We start from the raw sequence: 19,686 nt of genomic DNA, 5'->3' as shown, positions 1-19,686 counted from the left end.
ACTCTTCAAAAATGTCAGGGTCAAGAAAGATTGAGACACTGTTTCAAGTTAAGAGGCTAAAGAGACATGGTGACTAAATGAAATGTGTGATCCTAGACTGGATCCTGTAATGGGGAAAATTACCATATAGGACGTTATTGTGACCATACATGAAATTCACTGGATGATAGATTAAAATACTGTGTCAGTATTAAATTTGCTGAATTTGGTCATATAATAACCTTATTTGTAACAAATACACACTCAAGTATTAAGGGGGGAAAGGGACATTATGTATATAATCTATTCTCAAACCACTCAAAAAAAAATGTGTGTATGTGTATATGTACAAGGGGTGGGGAAGACAGAGAAAGCAAATGTGGCAAAATGTTAAAGATTAGTGAATCTGGGTTTGAGCACATAAAAATTCTTTGTACTATTTTTGCAACTTTTCTGTAAGTATGAAATTATTTCAGGGTTTAATAAAAAAGCAATCACCCAAAACCAACCACCCCTTACAACAAAATCAACACACACACACTTTCTTCCTAAATTACAGTATTTTATTTAATATGCCTTTTAAAAATAAATGAGCCTTAGCTTATCAGGCACAAGTTTTTTTTGTTTTGTTTTGTTTTATTTATTCACTTACAGGAAATATAAACACAAATTCTAAAAGTGTGAAGTTGCAAACGACAGGCAAGTTCACATTTCAATTAATGTGAACTGAACAAGAGTTTAAGGTGATTTTTAAATACCTTCCACGTTAGAAAATCCTTCTTTCTTAAATAAGTTTTCATATAAAGCCAAGTCCTTGCAACTTAACGACGGTTTTACAGTCTTAAGTGATTTTAGAAAGTGCTCTTGTTTCACTGTAGTTGCGTCTAGTCCATTTTCTTGCAGAGCCAGCAAAGCAGCCTATTAAGAGACAAGCAATAGAAAACAATTTCTTTTGCTTTTTTTTCTTTGAGATGGAGTTTTGCTCTTATTGCCCAGGCTGGAGTGCAGTGGCACGATCTGGACTCACTGCAACCTCCGTCTTCTGGTTTCAAGCAATTCTCCTGCCTCAGCCTCCCAAGTAGCTGGGATTACAGAAGGCTGCCACCACGCCCAACTAATTTTTGTATTTTTAGTAGAGACAGGGTTTCACCATGTTGGCCGGGCTCATCTTGAACTCCTGACCTCATGATCCACCTGCTTCAGCCTCCCAAAGTGCTGGGATTACAGGTGTGAGCCACAGCGCCTGGCTTCTTTTCTTTTTTTTTTAACAATATATGGTAATACTTTAAACTCTGAATGGAAAATCTCAGCCTCACTTCATAGGATTCTAATTTTCATGTCACTAAAAACATTATGCTAAAAAGTTAAATAAGGTGATTAGAAATCCACTTTGCAGACCATAACCTCTTTACATTAATGGGAAAAAAGAAAGCATTAAATGAGAAGAAAGAAAAGGCAAGTTGCAGATTAATATGTATTTTATGAACCCATATGTATTTTTAAAGATGAGAGAATATCTTCCTGATCGTTAAGTAGGGAAGAGTCTTCAGCCAGCACTGATTATAAAGGAATAGATCAAACACATACCCTATGACCCAGCAATTCTCCTTGTAGCTAACTATGTTTACAAATAGACATAAATAGACACGGGAACTAAGAGACATGTACAAGGCTGTTCACAGCAGCATAACTCATAATAGCAAAAAAGTAGAAACCCAGATATTCCAAAATAAAAGAATGGATAAACAAATGTAGAATATTCATATACTAGAATATTATAAACTATGCTACACACAAAACTATGGATAAATTTCTTTTTAGGTTAAAGAACCAGACAGAAAATAACATATGCCACATGCTTCCATTCATATAAAGTTCAAAAGCAGACAAAACTAATCCCCACTGTTGTTAGTCAGGAGAGTGGTTCCCTTTTGTTTTGTTTTTTGTTTTTTTTTTTTTTTTTGGGGGGGGGGGACAGAGTCTTGCTCTGTCACCCAGGCAGAAGTACAGTGACACAATCATGGCTCACTACAGCCTTGACCTCCAGGCTCAAGTGATCCTCCCACCTCAGCCTCCTGAGTAGCTGGGACAATTTTTTAAAAGTTTTTGTAGAGACAGGGTCTCCCCATGTTGCCCAGGTTGGTCTCAACTCCTGGGCTCAGATGATCCTCCTGCCTTGGCCCCAACAAAATGCTGGGATTACAGGCATGAGTCACTAAGCCCAGCCAATAGTTCTCTTTTGGAAGAAGGTAGGTGACAGAGGTTGGGAAAGGGCCCAAAGGAAGATTCTGGGGTGTTTATAATGTTCTATTTCTTGACATAAGTAGTGATTATAAAAATGTGATCACTTTAATTCAATGAACTGTACCCTTATGATCCGTGCATTTTTCTGAATGTTATATTTAGTAAAAGTTTACGAAAAAGGGTATCTTAGAGTGGTTTACAAGGACCCGTGTGTCCTGGCCATTGTCTACTCCTTCAGCTTTTTTTTTTTCCTAAGAGACAGAGTCTCACTCTGTCACCCAGGCTGGAGTGCAGCGGCACGATCTCATCTTACTGCAACCTTCGCTTCCCAGGCTCAAGCAATCCTCCCATCTCCCCCTCCCAAGTAGCTGGGACTACTAGTCCCCCACGTAGCTGGGACTAACACCACATTTGACTAATTTTTTATTTTTTCTAGAGATGGGGTCTCACTGTATTACCCAGGCTGATCTTAAACTCCTGGGCTAAAGCAATCCTCTCGCCTTGGCCTCCCAAAATGCTGGGATCACAGGCACGAGCCACCACGCCTAGCCCACTTCTTTCGCTTTATTTCTTGCCATTCTCCACTCTAAGATTCAATAATGTCACACCATCTCTTATCTTCAATCCTTTGCACATTTTATTCTCTCCACCTCAAACATTCCCCCTTCCCTTCTTAGCTGGCTAACTCCCGATTTGTCCTTCCAATTTCAGTTTATACATCTCCTTTCTCAGAAAGCCTTCTCTGATGTGCCAAATCTGGGCTGGTGTCTTTCCTAGGTGCTCCCACAGTACCCTCTACTTCCGCAACTCACTACATATTTTCAATTGCCAACTCAGTATTAAGATTTGCCTCTCTGCACCACCCTCCTCACCACCCCACACTTACAATAAGCTGTGTGAGGGATGGGGCCACATCTGTCTGTTTCACATCACATGGTACCACACAGGCTTTTAGTAAATACTGCTGAGTGAATGAAGATTTGAAAAGATGCAGAAATGTTTTGAACCACAAATTTCTTCAATAATTAACTTACTTCTGTGCAGAGGTTTCTAAGATCAGCTCCAGAAAAAAAACAGGTTTCTGCTGCGAGGTTTTCTAAGGAGACATCAGGCCCTATTGGCATGGTTTTTGTACAGACTTTTAAAATAGAAAGCCTGCCCTGGAACAAAATAAAAAACAGTATTTTAAATCTTATAACATTTATGTTTGACACAATGATTTATTAAAATATTTTTAGCTTGAGTTTCCTTTCACATTACCGAGAAAATATATATAGGGGTTAGAAAGACTAAGTCATCAATGGCTTATATGACAATGGTAAAAATAACGACATCATAAAAAACTTATGAATCTTTTTTTTTTTTTTTTTTTTGAGATGGAGTCTCGCTCTGTCACCCAGGCTGGAGTACACTGGCACGATCTTGGCTCACTACAACCTCCACCTCCCGGGTTCAAGTGATTCTCCTGTCTCAGCCTCCCAAGTAGCTGGGATTACAGGCGCCTGCCACCACATCCAGCTAATTTTTGTATTTTTAGTAGAGATGGGGTTTCACCATGTTGGCCAGGCTAGTCTCGAACTCCTGACCTCTGGTGATCTACCCGCCTTGGCCTCCCAAAGTGCTGGGATTACAGATGTGAGCCACCACGCCCGGCTAAATCTCTCTCTTGGGTACAAATAATACTATCAGACATGGCTTAAGAAGCAAATACATGAATTATCAGATACAACTTAAAGGTATAATAGATATTAAATTTTATTTTTCTATCCCTTCAAAACTTGATAAAAGCCCAAGGAACAAAAAAATTCACTCTGTGCCTTTCACCCTCCCTGTCAGTGGCTCTGGATGTTAACGACAAAAAATGTACTGGTTGACCATGATACACTGCATAATCTCTGTAATCTCAGATTTCTGCACCGTACTTTACGGACAACAAATTTACTGGTTGACCACGATACACTGCATAATCTCTGTAATTTCAGACTTCTGCACTGTATGATAAGGATGCTGACTCAATCTTCAAAGCCCTTTTAACACTTTAGGATTCCTCCACTCTAGTTGCAAAATAACGCTGAGTAGACTCAGTATTTAGAGTCTGCCACAACACAAAAAATAACCACCATATATTTAGGCTTATGTTTCTCTGTGAACAAGATCAGAGTATCCAACAAAGGAAGATCAAAATTATGATGTCATGAAAGGCCACCAGGCAAGGAAGAAGGCGGAACCCAGGGTAAGTAGAACACCATGGACACCTATATCCAAGTTGGAATTCAATTCTGCTGAGCTCACACAGAGTAAATGTGTAAATGACTACCTTGTGATCTGGAGGTGGGATATAGATGATCTTATCTAATCTTCCAGGTCGTAACAAAGCAGTATCTAACACATCAGGTCTATTTGTTGCTGCAATAATCATGACACTTCGGTTAAAAACTTCTTGAAACTCTGAGGGCAAACACACAACACAAAGTAATGTCAATCAGTTGTTAATAAGTTTTCTAAAAATTATAAATCAGAAGGTCTATTTAAATTCAAATAGGGATATCCTTTTCTTGGGACCAGAATGCTTATATCCGCTTTCCAGACCAGCTTCTTGATATCAAGATATCCCAGAAACAAATCATTAACCAAAGAGCTACTTTGTGTGCATGGCTAAGGGAGTAGCTAAGAGAAACATTCTCCATATGAGAACCTATGAAAAGCCTTATCCCAAAGGGGAGAACACTCATCTGGTGACTTGAGTGCACCTGAGCCTCCAATGAAGGCTTACACCTTAAACAGGCTACTTAAAAAGACAGATACTTATGACCAACCGGTGGAGATATATGGCTACAGAAAGTCTTGACTCTCATATCCCTAAAGAGGAAGATTTACTCGACCTTTTATTTTTCTTTGAAATGACAATCTAAGTTGCAGGTGCGCAAATCCTGGATAAAGAAATGTCTAAAAGCAGACAGAGAAAGGCTTTACATATACTAAGCATTCAAAATCATTTGTTGAATAATCAGGCAGCTCTCCAGTGACGTAATCCCTCAAAGTACAAAGTTCCCTATATTTGCAAGTATTTTAGCAGATGCTGGGTGAATACCTGTCAGATGCTATAGAAGGAATTCCTGCATTTTGAAATGATTTGATTAGATAACCTCGTGGATACCTCCTAATTCTAGTGTGACATATTCCTAAGGAGTGTATGCAACAATTCCATATGACAATTTTTAAAATAGGAAAAGAATGAGAACGAGAGAGGAATAAAAGAAAAAGTATCAGGGACAATTTAAGGATACCAAACTCATCTGGAGAAGAGACTCAGAAAGAGGGAGGGGACTTCCAAAGGCCATTTTAATTCATTAAAACCAAAGAAACTCATTCCTCAAGAAAACTGGAAATGTTCCATTACTAAGACTATTGGAAATAATAATCTCCTTTGTTTTTCATTCATTCATTCATTCATTCAGATATGGGGCCTTGCTATGTTGGCCAGGCTAGTCTCAAACTCCTGGCCTCAAGCAACCCTTCTGCCTTGGCCTCCCAAAGTGCTGGGATTACAGGCGTGTGCCACTGTGCCCAGTCTACATAAACATTTTTAGAAAGAAATGAATACTGGTTTTTAGGACATGCAAACAAGAATAAACTGCCTTCTCTATTAGCAATAAGTAAAATTATATTTCTCATTCTTAGGAAAAATAAAATTCACATTCTTATATTTAAGATAATTTATTATAAAATGTACCTCACCTTTCCTAGCCAAATCACAATTTTTATTAGCTCTAAAAGTCCTAACAAAGTCAAACTGAAATTATATAAATCCTTCTATGAGATGAATTCAGCATAGGTAAAGCTATAGCATATATGCATTATATTTAATGTTGGCCTGGATTTTAGGTGCATTCTGGCTAATAAATACCTCTTCATTTTTTCAGCTCCTTGTATTTACCCTGTTGACTTGATTTACTTCCTCTTCTCTCTATTGTCTTAAGTCCAACACCATCTAATTCATTCAGGAGAACAGAAAGAACTCGTTCTTGAACATCACATCCTGTCTTGCTGGCTGAGCGAGCTCCCAAGATTGAATCAATTTCATCCAAAAACAAAATTGCTGGAGTGCTTGCTCTTGCTTGTCGAAATATCTTTTGTTAGGAAAAAAATATTAAAAAGCTATATGTTATACATTAGTCATGTGATATTACTATTTATAATCCTGTTTTTTTTTTTTTTTTTGAGACAGTCTTGCTCTGTTGCTCAGTTTGGAGTGTAGTGATGCGATTTCAGCTCACTGCAACTTCTGCCTCCCAGGCTCAAGCAATTCTTGTGCCTCAGTCTCTCGAGTAGCTGAGATTATAGGGTGCGCTACCACGTCCACTTAATTTTTTTGTATTTTTAGTAGAGACGGGGTTTTGCCACGTTGGCCAGGCTGGTCTTGAACTCCTGGCCTAAAGTTATTCACCCGCCTTGGCCTCCCAAAGTGCTGGGATTACATGCATAAGCCACCATGCCTGGCCACTATTTATAATTTTTAAAATAGATATAAAAAAGATTCTGAATGTCTATGAATTGGGGAATGAGTAAATAAAACAAGAAACAATGGAGTATTATGTAAGAGTTAAAAACCATATTTTCAAAGAATACTATAAATTTCAAAAGTAGTAATATTAAGTTTAAAAAAGCAGGATAAAGCTATAGATATATAAAACCTACCTTTGATTTTATTTAAAACAGAAAAAAAGACAAAGGAAATTCACCAAAATGTTAACAGTAGGTAGGAGGATTATGAAGGATTTCATATTTACACTTTCCTATATTTTCTAAATTTTTCAATAAACGTATAAATTTTTTAACTGGAAAAAACACTAGTAATATTTTTAAAAAGGTTTGTCCATAAGAAATGAAATAAAAATTCAAAAGTAAATTTAAACATATGGGGAAATAAACAAACCTGAGACAACACTTTTTCTGAATCTCCAACAAACGGTGAAAACAGATCAGCTCCACTCACTGAAACGAAAGAGCAGTGACAGCTTGTGGCCAGGGCCCTCACCAGAGTGGTTTTAGCACATCCAGGGGGCCCATAGAGGAGAACTCCCTTTGGTTGTGTCAGGCCCATTCTAACAAATTCCCAAGGGAATTTCAGAGGCCACTCAATGCTCTGAAAGTACACAAAAAGAGAAGAGTTGTTTTAGTATAATAATAAAATGTCATATCATCCAGTAAATTCATTTCTTCATTTAACAATTCTCAGCCTCCTATTATGAGCTGGAAACAGTCCATTCTCCACACTGCAGAGATCTTATCATTTGAATCAGGTGATACCACTTCCTGTTTAAAATCCTTCAATGATTTACTATTAGAACTAGAATAAAATCCAAATCCAAACTCCTTACTCGCCACAGCTGACAAGGCCTTATATAATCTGACTGTCTCCTAAACACTTAGTTTGTTCCCATCTCAGAGCCTTTCCTTGCTTTTCTCTCTGCCTGAACGTTCCCCAAGATCTTCGTGTGGCTATCCCTCATCACTCAGGTCTCAGCGCAGGTGTCAATTCCTTGGAGTTAGTCTTTCCTAACTACCTGGTTAAAGCGGAACCCCCTCCTCCTACTCACTCTCTATGCTACTGCCCATCCTTTACTTTTAAAGCAAGTATTCACTATTATTATTTTTCCACGTTGGGTTTGTCATTCTGCTCTGCTAGAACGTAAGCAAAGCTCACCTCAAAATCCCCAGCAGCTAGAATGACACCTACCCAAAGGAGGCACTCAGTAACAGTAAACCGAATAATGAATGAGTCCTCATTACCTTTAAGGTAAATGGTTTTTAACCACTTTAATCATTATTTTACAGATGCAAAAAAACTCGGGCCTAAAAAAAGTTAAGTAATTTGCCTAGGTCTTACTGCTAATGAGGTGGCAGAACCAATACTGACCCCAGACAATGTAATTCAAGAGCACCAGCAAGGAGCAACGGTGTTGAAGTGGAGGTAGGAGTCAGATCACAATAGGCCTTGAAAGCTTTAGTCTGCACTGAGGAAGCAGTATGGAGAATGGACTGGAAGGAAATTAAACTAGAGGCAGGGAGACCAGCTACAAGTTTCTTGCAATGATTCAGCCTACAAAAATAATAAGGCTGGAGTGTCACAAGCAGTGAAGATGGTGTGGAAGGGATGGATATTTGAAACATAAAACAGAATTGTACTTTACATAGGGACAAAGTTCTGATGCTATGCCTTTAGAAGACAGATTTCTGACTTAGGGGATGGGGTGGCTGGCTGTATTAACTGAGGTAGGGAATCCAAGTGTGGGGGCAGAGCTGACTAGCTGAACTTTTTACATGCTGAGTTTGACATCCCTGGGGTTATCCAGTAGGCAGGCAGTGAAGTAGTTCTGATGATCAGAAGAAATGTCTACTCTAGATATACAGATTTCTGAGTCAACAGTTTTCAGGGATGCTGTGGACATCAAGATCATCATAAAATCACCCACAGCTCCAACAAGAGGAGGACTCTGGGAGCCTCTTGAGCACTAACATTTAAGGGAGGGGAGAGGGTGGCCAGAAAGGCAGAAAAGCTTAATGTCTCAAAGCTAAGGAAACAGAGTGCTTCCAACAGGAAGGTGTGGTTAATTTCTCTCATGCATCTTGTGAACATTAAATGAGACAATGCATAAAAAATATTGGCGCATATTATAAATGCTCTTATCCATGGACTCAAAAATTCTAGGGTTCACTGGAGATAGATCTCCTGGTTAAGATGAATAAATTATAATTATTACTTATATATCAGTCTGTTATGTGTGTGGTTAGAGAAACCTAGTTCATTAGGGCAGGATCACATGTAGGCGAATTGGCAAAATCAATTTCTGAAACTGTAACGCAGGTGAGAGGATCTGAAGAGTTGCGTCCCACAGCTTCCACTGTGAAATCCACTATCAGGTAGCCATATTGTTCATTTCAATTTTGTGCTTTTACCAGTCCCTGTACTGCATCCATTTAACGTCTTTTAGATCAGAGATCCAGGCAAACTAAGGCCTTCCACCTTTATTTGGTACAGCCCAAACTAAGAATAGTTTTTACATTTGTAAATGCTTGAAAAAAAATCAAAAGAATATTTTCTGACATGTGAAAATTATATAATTTCAGTGTCTATACTTTTATCAGAATACAATTACTAATTTACATATGGTCTACAGCTGCTTTGGTGCTACAACGGCAGAGGTGAGTGGTTATGACAGAGACTGTGGATCACAAAGCTTAAAACATTGACTATGTGGCTCTCTCTACAGAAATCTGTTGACCCCCGTTTTAGATTATAATTTTTTTTTTTTTTGAGACGGAGTCTCACTCTGTCCCAGGCTAGAGTGCAGTGGTGCAACCTCAGCTCACTGCAACCTCAGCCTCTTAGGTTGAAGCGATTCTCCTGCCTCAGCCTTCCCAGTAGTTGGGATTACAGGCTTGCGCCACCACACCTGGCTGATTTTTGTATTTTTAGTAGAGACAGGGTTTCACCATGTTGGCCAGGCTGGTCTTGAACTCCTGACCTCGTGATCCTCCTGCCTCGGCCTCCCAAAGTGCTGGGATTACTGGTGTGAGCCACCACGCCCGGCCTATAAATTGTTTTTGTTTTTTTGAGATGGAGTTTCACTTTTGTTGCTCAAGCTGGAGTACAATGGCGTGGTCTTGGCTCACTGCAACCTCCACCTCCCGGGTTCAAGCGATTCTCCTGCCTCAGCCTCCTGAGTAGCTGGGATTACAGGCATGCGCCACCACGCCTGGCTAATTTTTTGCATTTTTAGTAGAAATGGGGTTTCTCCATGCCAGCCAGGTTGGTTTCTAATTCCTGACCTCAGGTGATCTGCCTGCCTCGGCCTCCCAAAGTGCTGGGATTACAGGTGTAAGCCACCATGCCCAGTCAAAATTGTTTTTTAATTTTTTTTTAAAGACACAGGATCTCGCTCTGTTGCCCAAGCTGCAGTGCAGTGGTGCAATCATAGCTCACTGCAGCCTCGATCTCCTGGGTGTCCTGGGGTCAAGCCTCAAGTGATCCTCCTGAGTAGCTAGGACCATAAGCACGTGCTACCACACCTGGCTAATTTAAAAAAATTTTTTGTAGGCCAGGCATGGTGGCTCATGACTATAATCCCACCATTTTAGGAGGCCGAGTTGGAGGACTGTTTAAGCCCAGGAGTTCAAGGCCAGCTTGAGTAGCACAGTGGGACTCTATCTCTACAAAAAATTTAAAAATTAGCCAGGCGTGGTGGTATGCACCTGTAGTCCCAGCTACTTGGTGGGGCACTGAGGCAGAAGGACTGCTTGAGCCCAGGAGTTCAAGGGTGCAGTGAGCTGTGTTTGTGACACAATACTCCAGCCTGGGTGACAGAGCAAACATGTGTCAAAATAATTTTTTTAAATAGAGATGGGGAGTCTTACTTTGTTGCCCAGTCTGGTCTTGAACTCTTGGCCTCAAGAGATCCTCCTGTCTCGGCCTTCTAAAGTGCTAAGACTATAGGTTATACACTTTTTTCCCCCCGGACACGGTTTCTCTGTTGCCCAGGCTGTCGTGCAGTGGTGGGATCTTGGCTCACTGCAACCTCTGCCTCCCGGGTTCAAGTGATTCTCCTGCCTCAGCCTTCCGAGTAGCTGGGATTATGGGCACCTGCCAGCATGCCCAGCTAATTTTTGTATTTTTAGTAGAGACGGGGTTTCACCATGTTGGCCAGGCTGGTCTTGAACTCCTGACCTCAGGTGATCCACCCACCTCAACCTCCTAAAATGCTGAGATTATAGGTATGAGCCACTGCGCCCAGCCTTAGATTATAAACTTATTTTTTTTTAAATAGCGACAAGGGCTTGCTATGTTGCCCAGGCTGGTTTTGAACTCCTGAACTCAAGCAATCCTCCTCCCTTGGCCTCCCAAAGTGCTGGGATTATAGACATAAGCCACCACACCCAGCCTTAGGTTATAAACTCTTTAAAGCAAAAACAAAGAGAGGGTCGAGGTGGGAAATTATAAAAACCAGTTTAGACATCCACAGAAGTCCAATTAAATAAGGACTGAAAAGCAATCATTGGATTTAGATGTTAGGATCACATTAGTGATAGGAGCAAGAGCAGTTTCAGCGCAGTATGTTGTCATCATAAATGCACAGAATGTTAATCTGTAATATCCTACTGGATTAAGTAGATTATCTGTCTTACCTGTTTTAACTTCAGTTTTACATCTTCAAGGCCACCAATCTCCTCCCAGTCAACAGGCTTGATATCCATTAATCCAATGACGCTTCGAAACGATGAGGGCTGAATATTTTTAAAAGCTTCAAGGAAGTCTATTTCATCAATCACAGGATTGTCCTGGTTCTGAAGAAATACACCCAAAAAAGCAAAATCAAACCAAAAATTAGGTTGGTCTTTTTTTATAGCACAATTTGTTTTTAAAATCTTCTTTTGGATTTGTAAAGTTATTTTGTTATCATTATAAAAACAATTTATATACATAGTACAAAGAATTAAATGTCTCCCTGCCAATTCCTGCCAGTAATTCTTCCCCGAAAGATGTCAAGAGTTTGTGTATTTTTCCAGTATGTTATGCTAGTAAGCATACATATATCCTTTTAAACAGATACACAAATGGAACCATACTATATCAGCCTGTACTTTTCTTCTTTCACCTATCTTAGAGAGCTTTTCATGTCAACTAACACAGTTCTACGTCATTCTTTTTGACAATTCCATAATACACTACTGAATTTACCCCAACTACACCTTTCTGACAAACGTTAGGTCATCCCCAGTCTTTAGATATTAAAAACAAAGCTGCAACTGAAAAAGTCTTTGTGCTCATGTTCAAGTATTTGTTTATTTTGAGACAGGGTCTCACTCTGTTACCCAGGCTGGAATGCAGTGATGTTATCATAGCTCACTGCAGTCTCCCAGGCTCAAGTAATCCTTGCACCTCACCCTCCGGAGTAGCTAGAACTACAGGTATGTGCCACCAGCCTGGCTAATTAAAAAAATATATATATTTTTTTTTTGTAGAGATGCGGTCTCCCTATGTTGCCCAGGCTGGTCTGGAACTCATGGGCTCGAGCGATCCTCCCACCTCAGCCTCCCAAAGTGCTGGGATTACAGGCATGAGCCACCATGTTCAAACTCATGTTCAAGTATTTTATGTAATAATTTCCTCAAAGTAGAATTACTGGGTTTACAAGTACACACATATACAATTTTGACAGCTATTACCAAATTGTCCTCTAAGGAAGCTGCAACAATTTATTCTTCTCCGATAATATGAAGCTGTGTTCTCTCCACACCTCTCCAGTACAGACATTATCAAACTCTTTTTTTTTTTTTTTTTGGCGGGGTCTCACTCTGTCACCCAGGTTGGAGTGCAGTGCTGTGATCTTGGCTCCCTGCAGCCTCCGCCTCCTGGGTTCAAATGATTCTCGTGCCTCAGCCTACCGAGTAGCTGGGATTTATAGGCATGAGCCACCACACCTGACTAATTTTTGTATTTTTAGCAGAGACGGGGTTTCCCCATGTTGGCCAGGCTGGTCTTGAACTCCTGACCTCAACTGACCCACCCATCTCAGCCTCCCAAAGTGCTGGGATTATAGGTGTGAGCCACCGCACGTGGCCCATTTCCAAACTCTTAAATGTCTGCCAATATGACAGGAAGAACCAGTACTCATTCATTACTGTGTTAACTAAATTTCTTCAATTCAAAATGAGGTAGAGGGAATATTGGAATTAAAAAAATCGCCCGTCTTGCAATCATGATAGTAAAGGCTGTTATGAGCAAGAATTGGATGCTATGTTGAGGGGAGTAAAAGTTTATTCATTTATGAGACAGGGTCTTGCTCTGCTGCCCAGGCTGGAGTGCAGTGGCATTGAGGCAACAGCTCATTGAGCCTCGAACACCTGGGCTCAAGTGATCATTCTATCTCAGCCTCCTGAGCAGCTGGGACTACAGGTGTAAGCCACTGTGCCCAGCCTGAAAGTTTGATGAGGAGCAGGATATCTCAAAGTGTCTCCCCACAGATTTCTCATTAGTGGCAAAGGGAAAAATAGCAGTTCCACAGTGGAGAAACTGCGCACTGCCTGAACTAGTTGATAAAAGTTAGCATCACCAATGAGGAACCAATGTACACTCTGTGCCTCTACATGTGAGGCTCTAAGGACACAACACTATACATCACCATACTGTGGTGACATATGGGAACATTTCTGTTCTTAGGAAATAGACATTAAAATGTTAAGGGATAAAGTGTCATGATATATGCAACCCATTCTCTCAAATAGTCCAAAATAAATAAATACTATGTGCATATAAATACATATATATGGAGATGACAGAGAGAGAGAGAAAGAGAAGAGGAGAGGGAGCAAGGAGAGCAAAAGAGAATGATAAAGCTTATTTGGCAAAAAGTTAAAAATTGGTGAATTTGGATAAAGGGTTTAGTGGAAGTTCTTTGTAACTATCTTGCAACTTTCCTATAAGTTTTAATTATTTCAAAATAAAGACAATAATTTTAGAAGAAATCAAGGTTGAACATCTTTCATGTTTATTGTCATTCCTTTTATTGTCAACTACCTGTTCATACCCCATTACCCATTTTCTCTTGGACTGTTGGTCTTTTCTTACTGATTTGTAAGATTTGTTCATTCCCTATCAAGGAAATTGGACTAAAAGTATTTTTCCTAGTCTGACTACTTTATAGTATTGTTTTGCCACCCCCAAATGGTCAACTCAGCAAATAATCTCTTTTTTGGCTATTAAGGTTTATGTTATGCCTAGAGAAGTCGTCTTCACTCTCAGGTTATATTTTGGAGACTCTTTACATTCTCCTTGATCATTCTAGTGAAACACATTTTTTTTTGTTAGTTAAAAAGTCCTGAAAATTTTATTAAAAATATCTGTACTGTATTTATTAAAGTATTTGCCCTCTTATATCCAATTCTAAACATCTAGTTGTCCACAAATTCCCGTTTTCAAAAACAAACTGTCTTTTCTTATTTGTAAACAGATGTTAAGTGAATCTGTATGTATAGAGCTATTCTGTAAAGTATTCTCCCAAAAGTGTTAACAATTGTCATCTCTGGAAAGTGAGATTTCAGGTAGGCAGTTCTTTATAATTTTCTATCTTCATTTCTCATGAATAACCCTATTATATACTTAAAAAAAAGCCTTTTTAACTGGCTGATAGTATGTTAGGTGTCTGATGTCCAAATATTAACTAATCTTTAGGTAACACGAACTAATATTTGAAAATCTCATTTATAGTTCAAGATCATGTGTGTACACATTATTTTACTTGATTCTTTGGGCTTATACATTCTTTCCCCTCTGTGTGTGTCTGAGTGTTAAACTACAGTTCTAATCCTTTAATAGGAATACTTCACAAAAAGTTTAACAAAGTGTAAGGTATCCCTTATCTGCCCTGGTACAGGGAGAGGTAGCAGCAGCCCCTCAGCTGGTGGGGGAAAGAATAAAAGATGGAGCCAGTACCTTCCCAGTTGTCTGTCCCTTCATGCTTTTTGCCTTTCTTCCTTCCACTTCCCCTGGGTTGTTTCTGAACTCAGCCATCACCTGTGGTAACTACACCTGAGCAGGCCCCTCCTGAAGTAGCAGTGGGCTCCACCCTGGGACGACAGCAGCTGACTGGTCCACCTAAGTGAGAGGTGCTTATGGTCAAACCTGGAACTTCAAAGCAGAGGAAATCCTGAATGTAAATCTCCCTTCCCATCTCCTGCTTACTTATTGTCTCCCTCAAAAGACATCTATTCTCACATCTTTACACACAGAACTTTAAAACTTCAAGTAGTTTTGGTCTAAACCTACAAGATGAAGACTTAAAAGATCAACTAGAAGATCACATAACTCCTCCCCACCTTCGGTGTAACTGTAGAAATAAAGGAAAGGAAGTGAGGCAAGGTATAAATTATTTAGGTAAAAAGGTTTTTCAAAATTTAGGATAATAAATCATTCTTTTGCAGTTTAAGATGAAAAGACAATTTTGATGTTACAAATGAGATTGAAAACTCTGTTTCAGAATCCTTAGCCTGCTGAAATCAGTTTTTTCCTGAATGGGTTTAAGGATTCAGGACTATTTATTATATACAAAATACTGGATTTTACAACCAACAAAGTTGAAAAGTATTATATTTAATCTAATATCTTAAATATTGTTAGGAAATAGTCATGAATTACAGACCTGCAGATCAAGGACAAATTTAAATACAATTCCAAGTGCCCAATCTTCTCCTAGGTTAGAAAAGCTTATTTCTCCCACTAGATACTTATTAATAACAAAGGGAAAAACGGTATCTTGACAATGGAGAAATCTCACAGACACCACCTTAACCAAGAAATCAAAGTTAACTTCACCAGTGATAGAACAGAAACATATCATGTGCTGCCTAACAGATGCAATGAGAAAGACACAGGATCATTTCTATTATATTCCTGCCCAAAATGCAAAACCTGAATTGAATCATGAAGAAACATTAGTCAAACCCAAACTGACGAATATTCCACAGAATAACTGACTCTTAAAAAGTTATGTTTTCATAGAAGAAAGCCTGAAGTATGATTCTAGATTAAGGCCTATTTAGGTTAAGTACAAGTATTATGTCTGCGTTAATTTTCTCAGCTTGATCATCATACTGTGGTTAAGGTCCTTGTTTTTCAGAAATATACACTTACGTTTTCGCGGGTAAAGGGGCATCATGGATGTAGTATATGCTCAAATATTTCATTATATATATGTATATATATAAGGAAATACACATGAAGAGAGAATGATAAAGCAAATGTGGCAAATGTTACATTTGGAGAATCTAGGAGAAGGGTATATGGAAACTCTTTGTACTATTTTTGTAACTTCTAAGTCTGAAATTGCCTCAAAATAAAAAAATTCAAATTAAAAAAACTCTTTGATTCTTCTGGGGCCACACTATTTCTTGGCTGCTCTGGGCTTCAGCACTAGGGAGTTACTATAAGAGTAGGGAACAAATTCACTCAGTAGACCCAGAGGACTCAGCCCTTTATCCCCACCCTCAATCATATACTATTTATATAGAGTTGAGATGTAAAATGTATAAGCAACAGCTGTGGAAGCTATCAAATGTTCTAAGGAAAATGTACTCACCGCTTTTTTTTAACCCCCAAATTAATCTGTTACAATAATAGATTAACATAGATGTTCATAAATTAACACTTCTTACCTTCTCACTATGAAGGAGGGCATGCATGGCAGCCTCCCTACAGAGTGCTGTCAGGTCGGCACCAACATAGCCAACTGTCATTTCTGCAAGAAGGCCCAAATCAACATGACTGGAGATGGGCATCTTCGAGGTAATCACTTGCAGAATTTCCTTTCTTTGTTTAAGTGTGGGAGTCCCAATGACCACCTATATGCAAAGCAAAACAAAAAAAAGAAGAAGAAGTATATAGTTTAAAATATATTATTTTTAAAGTTGATCTCATGGATGGAGGTAGACAGCAGAATGATAGCAACCAGACACTGGGAAGGGTTGGGGGTGAGGGGATGAAGACAGGTTGGCTCATGGGTACAAACATACAGTTAGGTAGAAGGAATATGTGTAATGTTTGATAGTGTAGTAGGGTGACTATAGTTAACAATAATTTCTCGTATATTTCAAAATAGCTACTAGAGAGAATCTGAAATATTCCCAACACTCAGATAAGAAATGATAAATGTTTGAGGTGATGGATATCCTAAGCACCCTGATTTGATAATTACAAATTGTATGCATGTACCAAAATATCACATGTACCCCAAAACATGCACAATTATGTATCAATAAAAATAGATCAATTAAAAAAGAATTACTTCCAAAAAAATTTTATATATGTGTGTGTATACATATATATATTTTTTTTTTCTTTTTTTTTTTTTTTTGAGACACAGTTTCACTCTGCTGCCCAGTCTGGAGTGCAGCGGGCACCATCTCAGCTCACTGCAACCTCCACCTCCTGGTTCAAGTGATTCTGGTGCCTCAGCCTCCAGAGTAGCTAGAACTACAGGCATGTGCCACCATGCCCGGCTTATTTTTTGTATTTTTAGCAGAGACGGGGTTTCACCATCTTGGCCAGGCTGGTCTCGAACTCCTGACCTCAGGTGATCCACCCACCTCAGCCTCCCAAAGTATTGAGATTGCAGGCGTGAGCCACCGCGCCCGGCCAAAATAATAATATGTTTTTTATCCTGACAAACATGTACGACAATTTAGTGAACCACTTTGGAACTAGTACCGTGCACTTTACGTATACTTTAGATTCTGAATATACGAAAATCCTAATATTCCAGAGGAGTAACACTGGCTAGAAAGTTGCACAATGAAAATTCTATGTCATTTAACAAGTTTTTGTTATTTTTAAGAACACACAAAGTTCTAGAAGCCAGGTATAGATAGCTAGGTCCCTGCCCTTAAGGACACAGGTACTAGATAGTGCAAGGAAGAAATCCACTCAAGTCCTGAACTAACTGAGCTAAAAGTGTGTAATTATCATTTCTCTTTTGAATCCTATCACAAAATAGAAATATCAGTCACTAAATTTCAAACTGTTCTTTAGAATTCAAGTCAATTTAGGACCAAAGCTTAAAATAGGACAGCTCTGAATATTCAACCTCCCTGACAACTCAGGGAGCAGTTGTGGGTACCTCCTCAATTGTGGAATAGGATGCTGGTGTTATGACAAGGAATGAATAAATCCAGAAGAGTTAATGCCTGCTTCCATTTAGTTCTTCCCCACCTTCTCCCTTTTTATTTCAACACACTTACTTCTTGAGGCTATCCTTCTTTAAATTCTCATTCCAAAAAATGAGTTTAACACGCTTGTAGGTGACCAAAATTCTCTTAAGAATTAACATTACTGATTATAGGACCTGCACAACAAAATTAATCTGTAATGGACACCTCGCTTCCCAAAACAATTAGACTCTGGGGAAACAGGTCCTGACTCTCAGATCCTGACTCACAGGTCCTGACAATTTGACTCTGGGGAAATACAGGTCCTGACTCACAGATCATATATCGGCAGAGAACGTGTTCTCTGCATTGCAAAGAGCCCCAACTCCAACCTCACCGATGCTCAAACCTAAGAGGCAAACGCCTCCGGGGCAGCCAAATGGCGCCAGAAGCGGCCGAGGTTCCACCGACAGTGGGCAAACCCGCCAAGCCCATTCACCTCTCGGTCAAATCTCCCGGGCCTACGCAGCGCTGGGTCTAGAGCGTCCGGCCGGTTAGTGGCTCCCACAACCACGACCTCGCGGTCCCCACTGGCGCCGTCCAGCAGCGTCAACACCTGGGCCACTACGCGGCTCTCGGGTGCTCGACTGCCCCGCTGGGGACACAAGGCGTCCATCTCGTCCAGGAAGAGGAGGCTGGGTCCGCGGCTGGCCAGTTCCCGGGCGCGCTGGAAGACCCGCCGCACGTTCTCCTCGGTCTCCCCAGGCCGGGAACCCTGCAGCGCCGGGGCGCTGACTGCCAGCAGCTCCGCGCCCGCCTCGCGCGCCACGGCCCGCACCAGCTGGGTCTTGCCCACTCCGGGGGGCCCCGCCAGGAGCACCCCGCGAGGCACCGCTAAGCCCAGCGCGGTCAGGGCGCGCGGGTAGCGGAGCGGGAGGCGGAGGAGCTCCCGCAGCGAGTCGGCCGCCTCCGAAAGACCTCCCAGGGGCACCTCGGGCTGCGGCTGGGCTTCCGACGGAGGCTCCCCGCCAAGGCTGACGCGGGTACGAGGGGTGACCAGCCCAGCGGGATCGGGACTGGGCGTCCCGCCGACGATGTGCAAGGCAGCCACCAGGCCAGGAGCGCCTGGCGGAGCGACCACCACGTGGCCCAGGGAGATCGGTCGGTTTCTCAGCAGCTCCTGTGCCGCCTCCAGCACCGCGGCTGTATTCCGGGCACCGGGCGCGCCTGCCCGCTCTCGCAACACCGGCCACACGGCGACGCGCCGCAGGGGCGGACAGGGCACTAGGAGGAGGCGATTCAGGCTGAGACTCCTCCGGGATCTCGACGCCCCGACCGCCGCCCCGGGGCTCGCGCACAGCGGGTCCAGCTGCACAAAGCCGTCCGCTCCGTCCCGCCGAGGCCAGGCAGTGCAGAGGCAGGAGCCGCCGTCGGGTAGCGAGATCTTCACTGCCGAGCCCAAGCGCGCGCCCAGGGCGTGGAGGGCGGCCGGGCCCAGGCGGCAGCGCTGGGTGCCCCGGTCTCTAGCGTCTAAGGGTAGCAGCTTTAAGAGCGGCCCTTCAGGGAAGGGATCCGAGTCCGGAGCCATCGCACACAGATGAACCAGGCAGACGAAACCAGATTAGGAAACCCACCCGGCCCACAAAAAGCGGAACACCGAGCTCGCAGGCCGGAAGCAGATTGCGCGCATGCGCTAGGGCAGACTGCGTTGCTAGCAGCTGAGTGAAGGCCGAAAGGGCCAATGGAAACGTTAGACGACGCTCG

The 19,686-nt window shown here is 41.3% G+C and overlaps 1 protein-coding gene across 7 annotated transcripts, besides 3 other annotated features; it reads right to left on the bottom strand.

Annotated features, from left to right (window-relative positions):
- Positions 1 to 524: 524 nt before the first annotated feature.
- AFG2B (AAA ATPase AFG2B) lies at positions 525 to 19,604 on the bottom strand. 7 transcript variants are annotated; one of them, NR_136646.2, is made up of 9 exons: positions 18,422 to 19,604; positions 16,435 to 16,620; positions 14,717 to 14,911; positions 11,410 to 11,568; positions 7,160 to 7,369; positions 6,131 to 6,353; positions 4,541 to 4,671; positions 3,258 to 3,383; positions 525 to 897 (listed from the first exon to the last, which is right to left on the bottom strand). NR_136646.2 is itself a non-coding variant. In NM_024063.3 (8 exons), the coding sequence occupies exons 1-8, from the start codon at positions 19,508 to 19,510 to the stop codon at positions 730 to 732; spliced, it is 2,262 nt and encodes a 753-aa protein (NP_076968.2). In that variant the 5' UTR covers positions 19,511 to 19,604; the 3' UTR covers positions 525 to 729. The 7 variants fall into 7 exon arrangements, 2 of the variants coding, with proteins under 2 accessions (NP_076968.2, NP_001310569.1); NR_136648.2 differs by having other exon boundaries at positions 6,161 to 6,353; NR_136647.2 differs by having other exon boundaries at positions 14,717 to 14,878.
- Positions 18,772 to 18,921: a silencer, noted in NCBI's record as "silent region_6408". NCBI's record gives its function as "represses an Ori minimal core promoter by ATAC-STARR-seq in GM12878 lymphoblastoid cells {active_cell/tissue: GM12878}" and the evidence as "EXISTENCE:reporter gene assay evidence [ECO:0000049][PMID:35858748]".
- Positions 19,312 to 19,391: a silencer, noted in NCBI's record as "silent region_6407". NCBI's record gives its function as "represses an Ori minimal core promoter by ATAC-STARR-seq in GM12878 lymphoblastoid cells {active_cell/tissue: GM12878}" and the evidence as "EXISTENCE:reporter gene assay evidence [ECO:0000049][PMID:35858748]".
- Positions 19,472 to 19,631: an enhancer, noted in NCBI's record as "active region_9360". NCBI's record gives its function as "activates an Ori minimal core promoter by ATAC-STARR-seq in GM12878 lymphoblastoid cells {active_cell/tissue: GM12878}" and the evidence as "EXISTENCE:reporter gene assay evidence [ECO:0000049][PMID:35858748]".

This window comes from Homo sapiens, chromosome 15 (genome assembly GCF_000001405.40).
Source record: "Homo sapiens chromosome 15, GRCh38.p14 Primary Assembly".
Lineage (NCBI taxonomy): Eukaryota > Metazoa > Chordata > Mammalia > Primates > Hominidae > Homo > Homo sapiens.
This window is presented reverse-complemented; position numbering and strand designations above follow the sequence as displayed.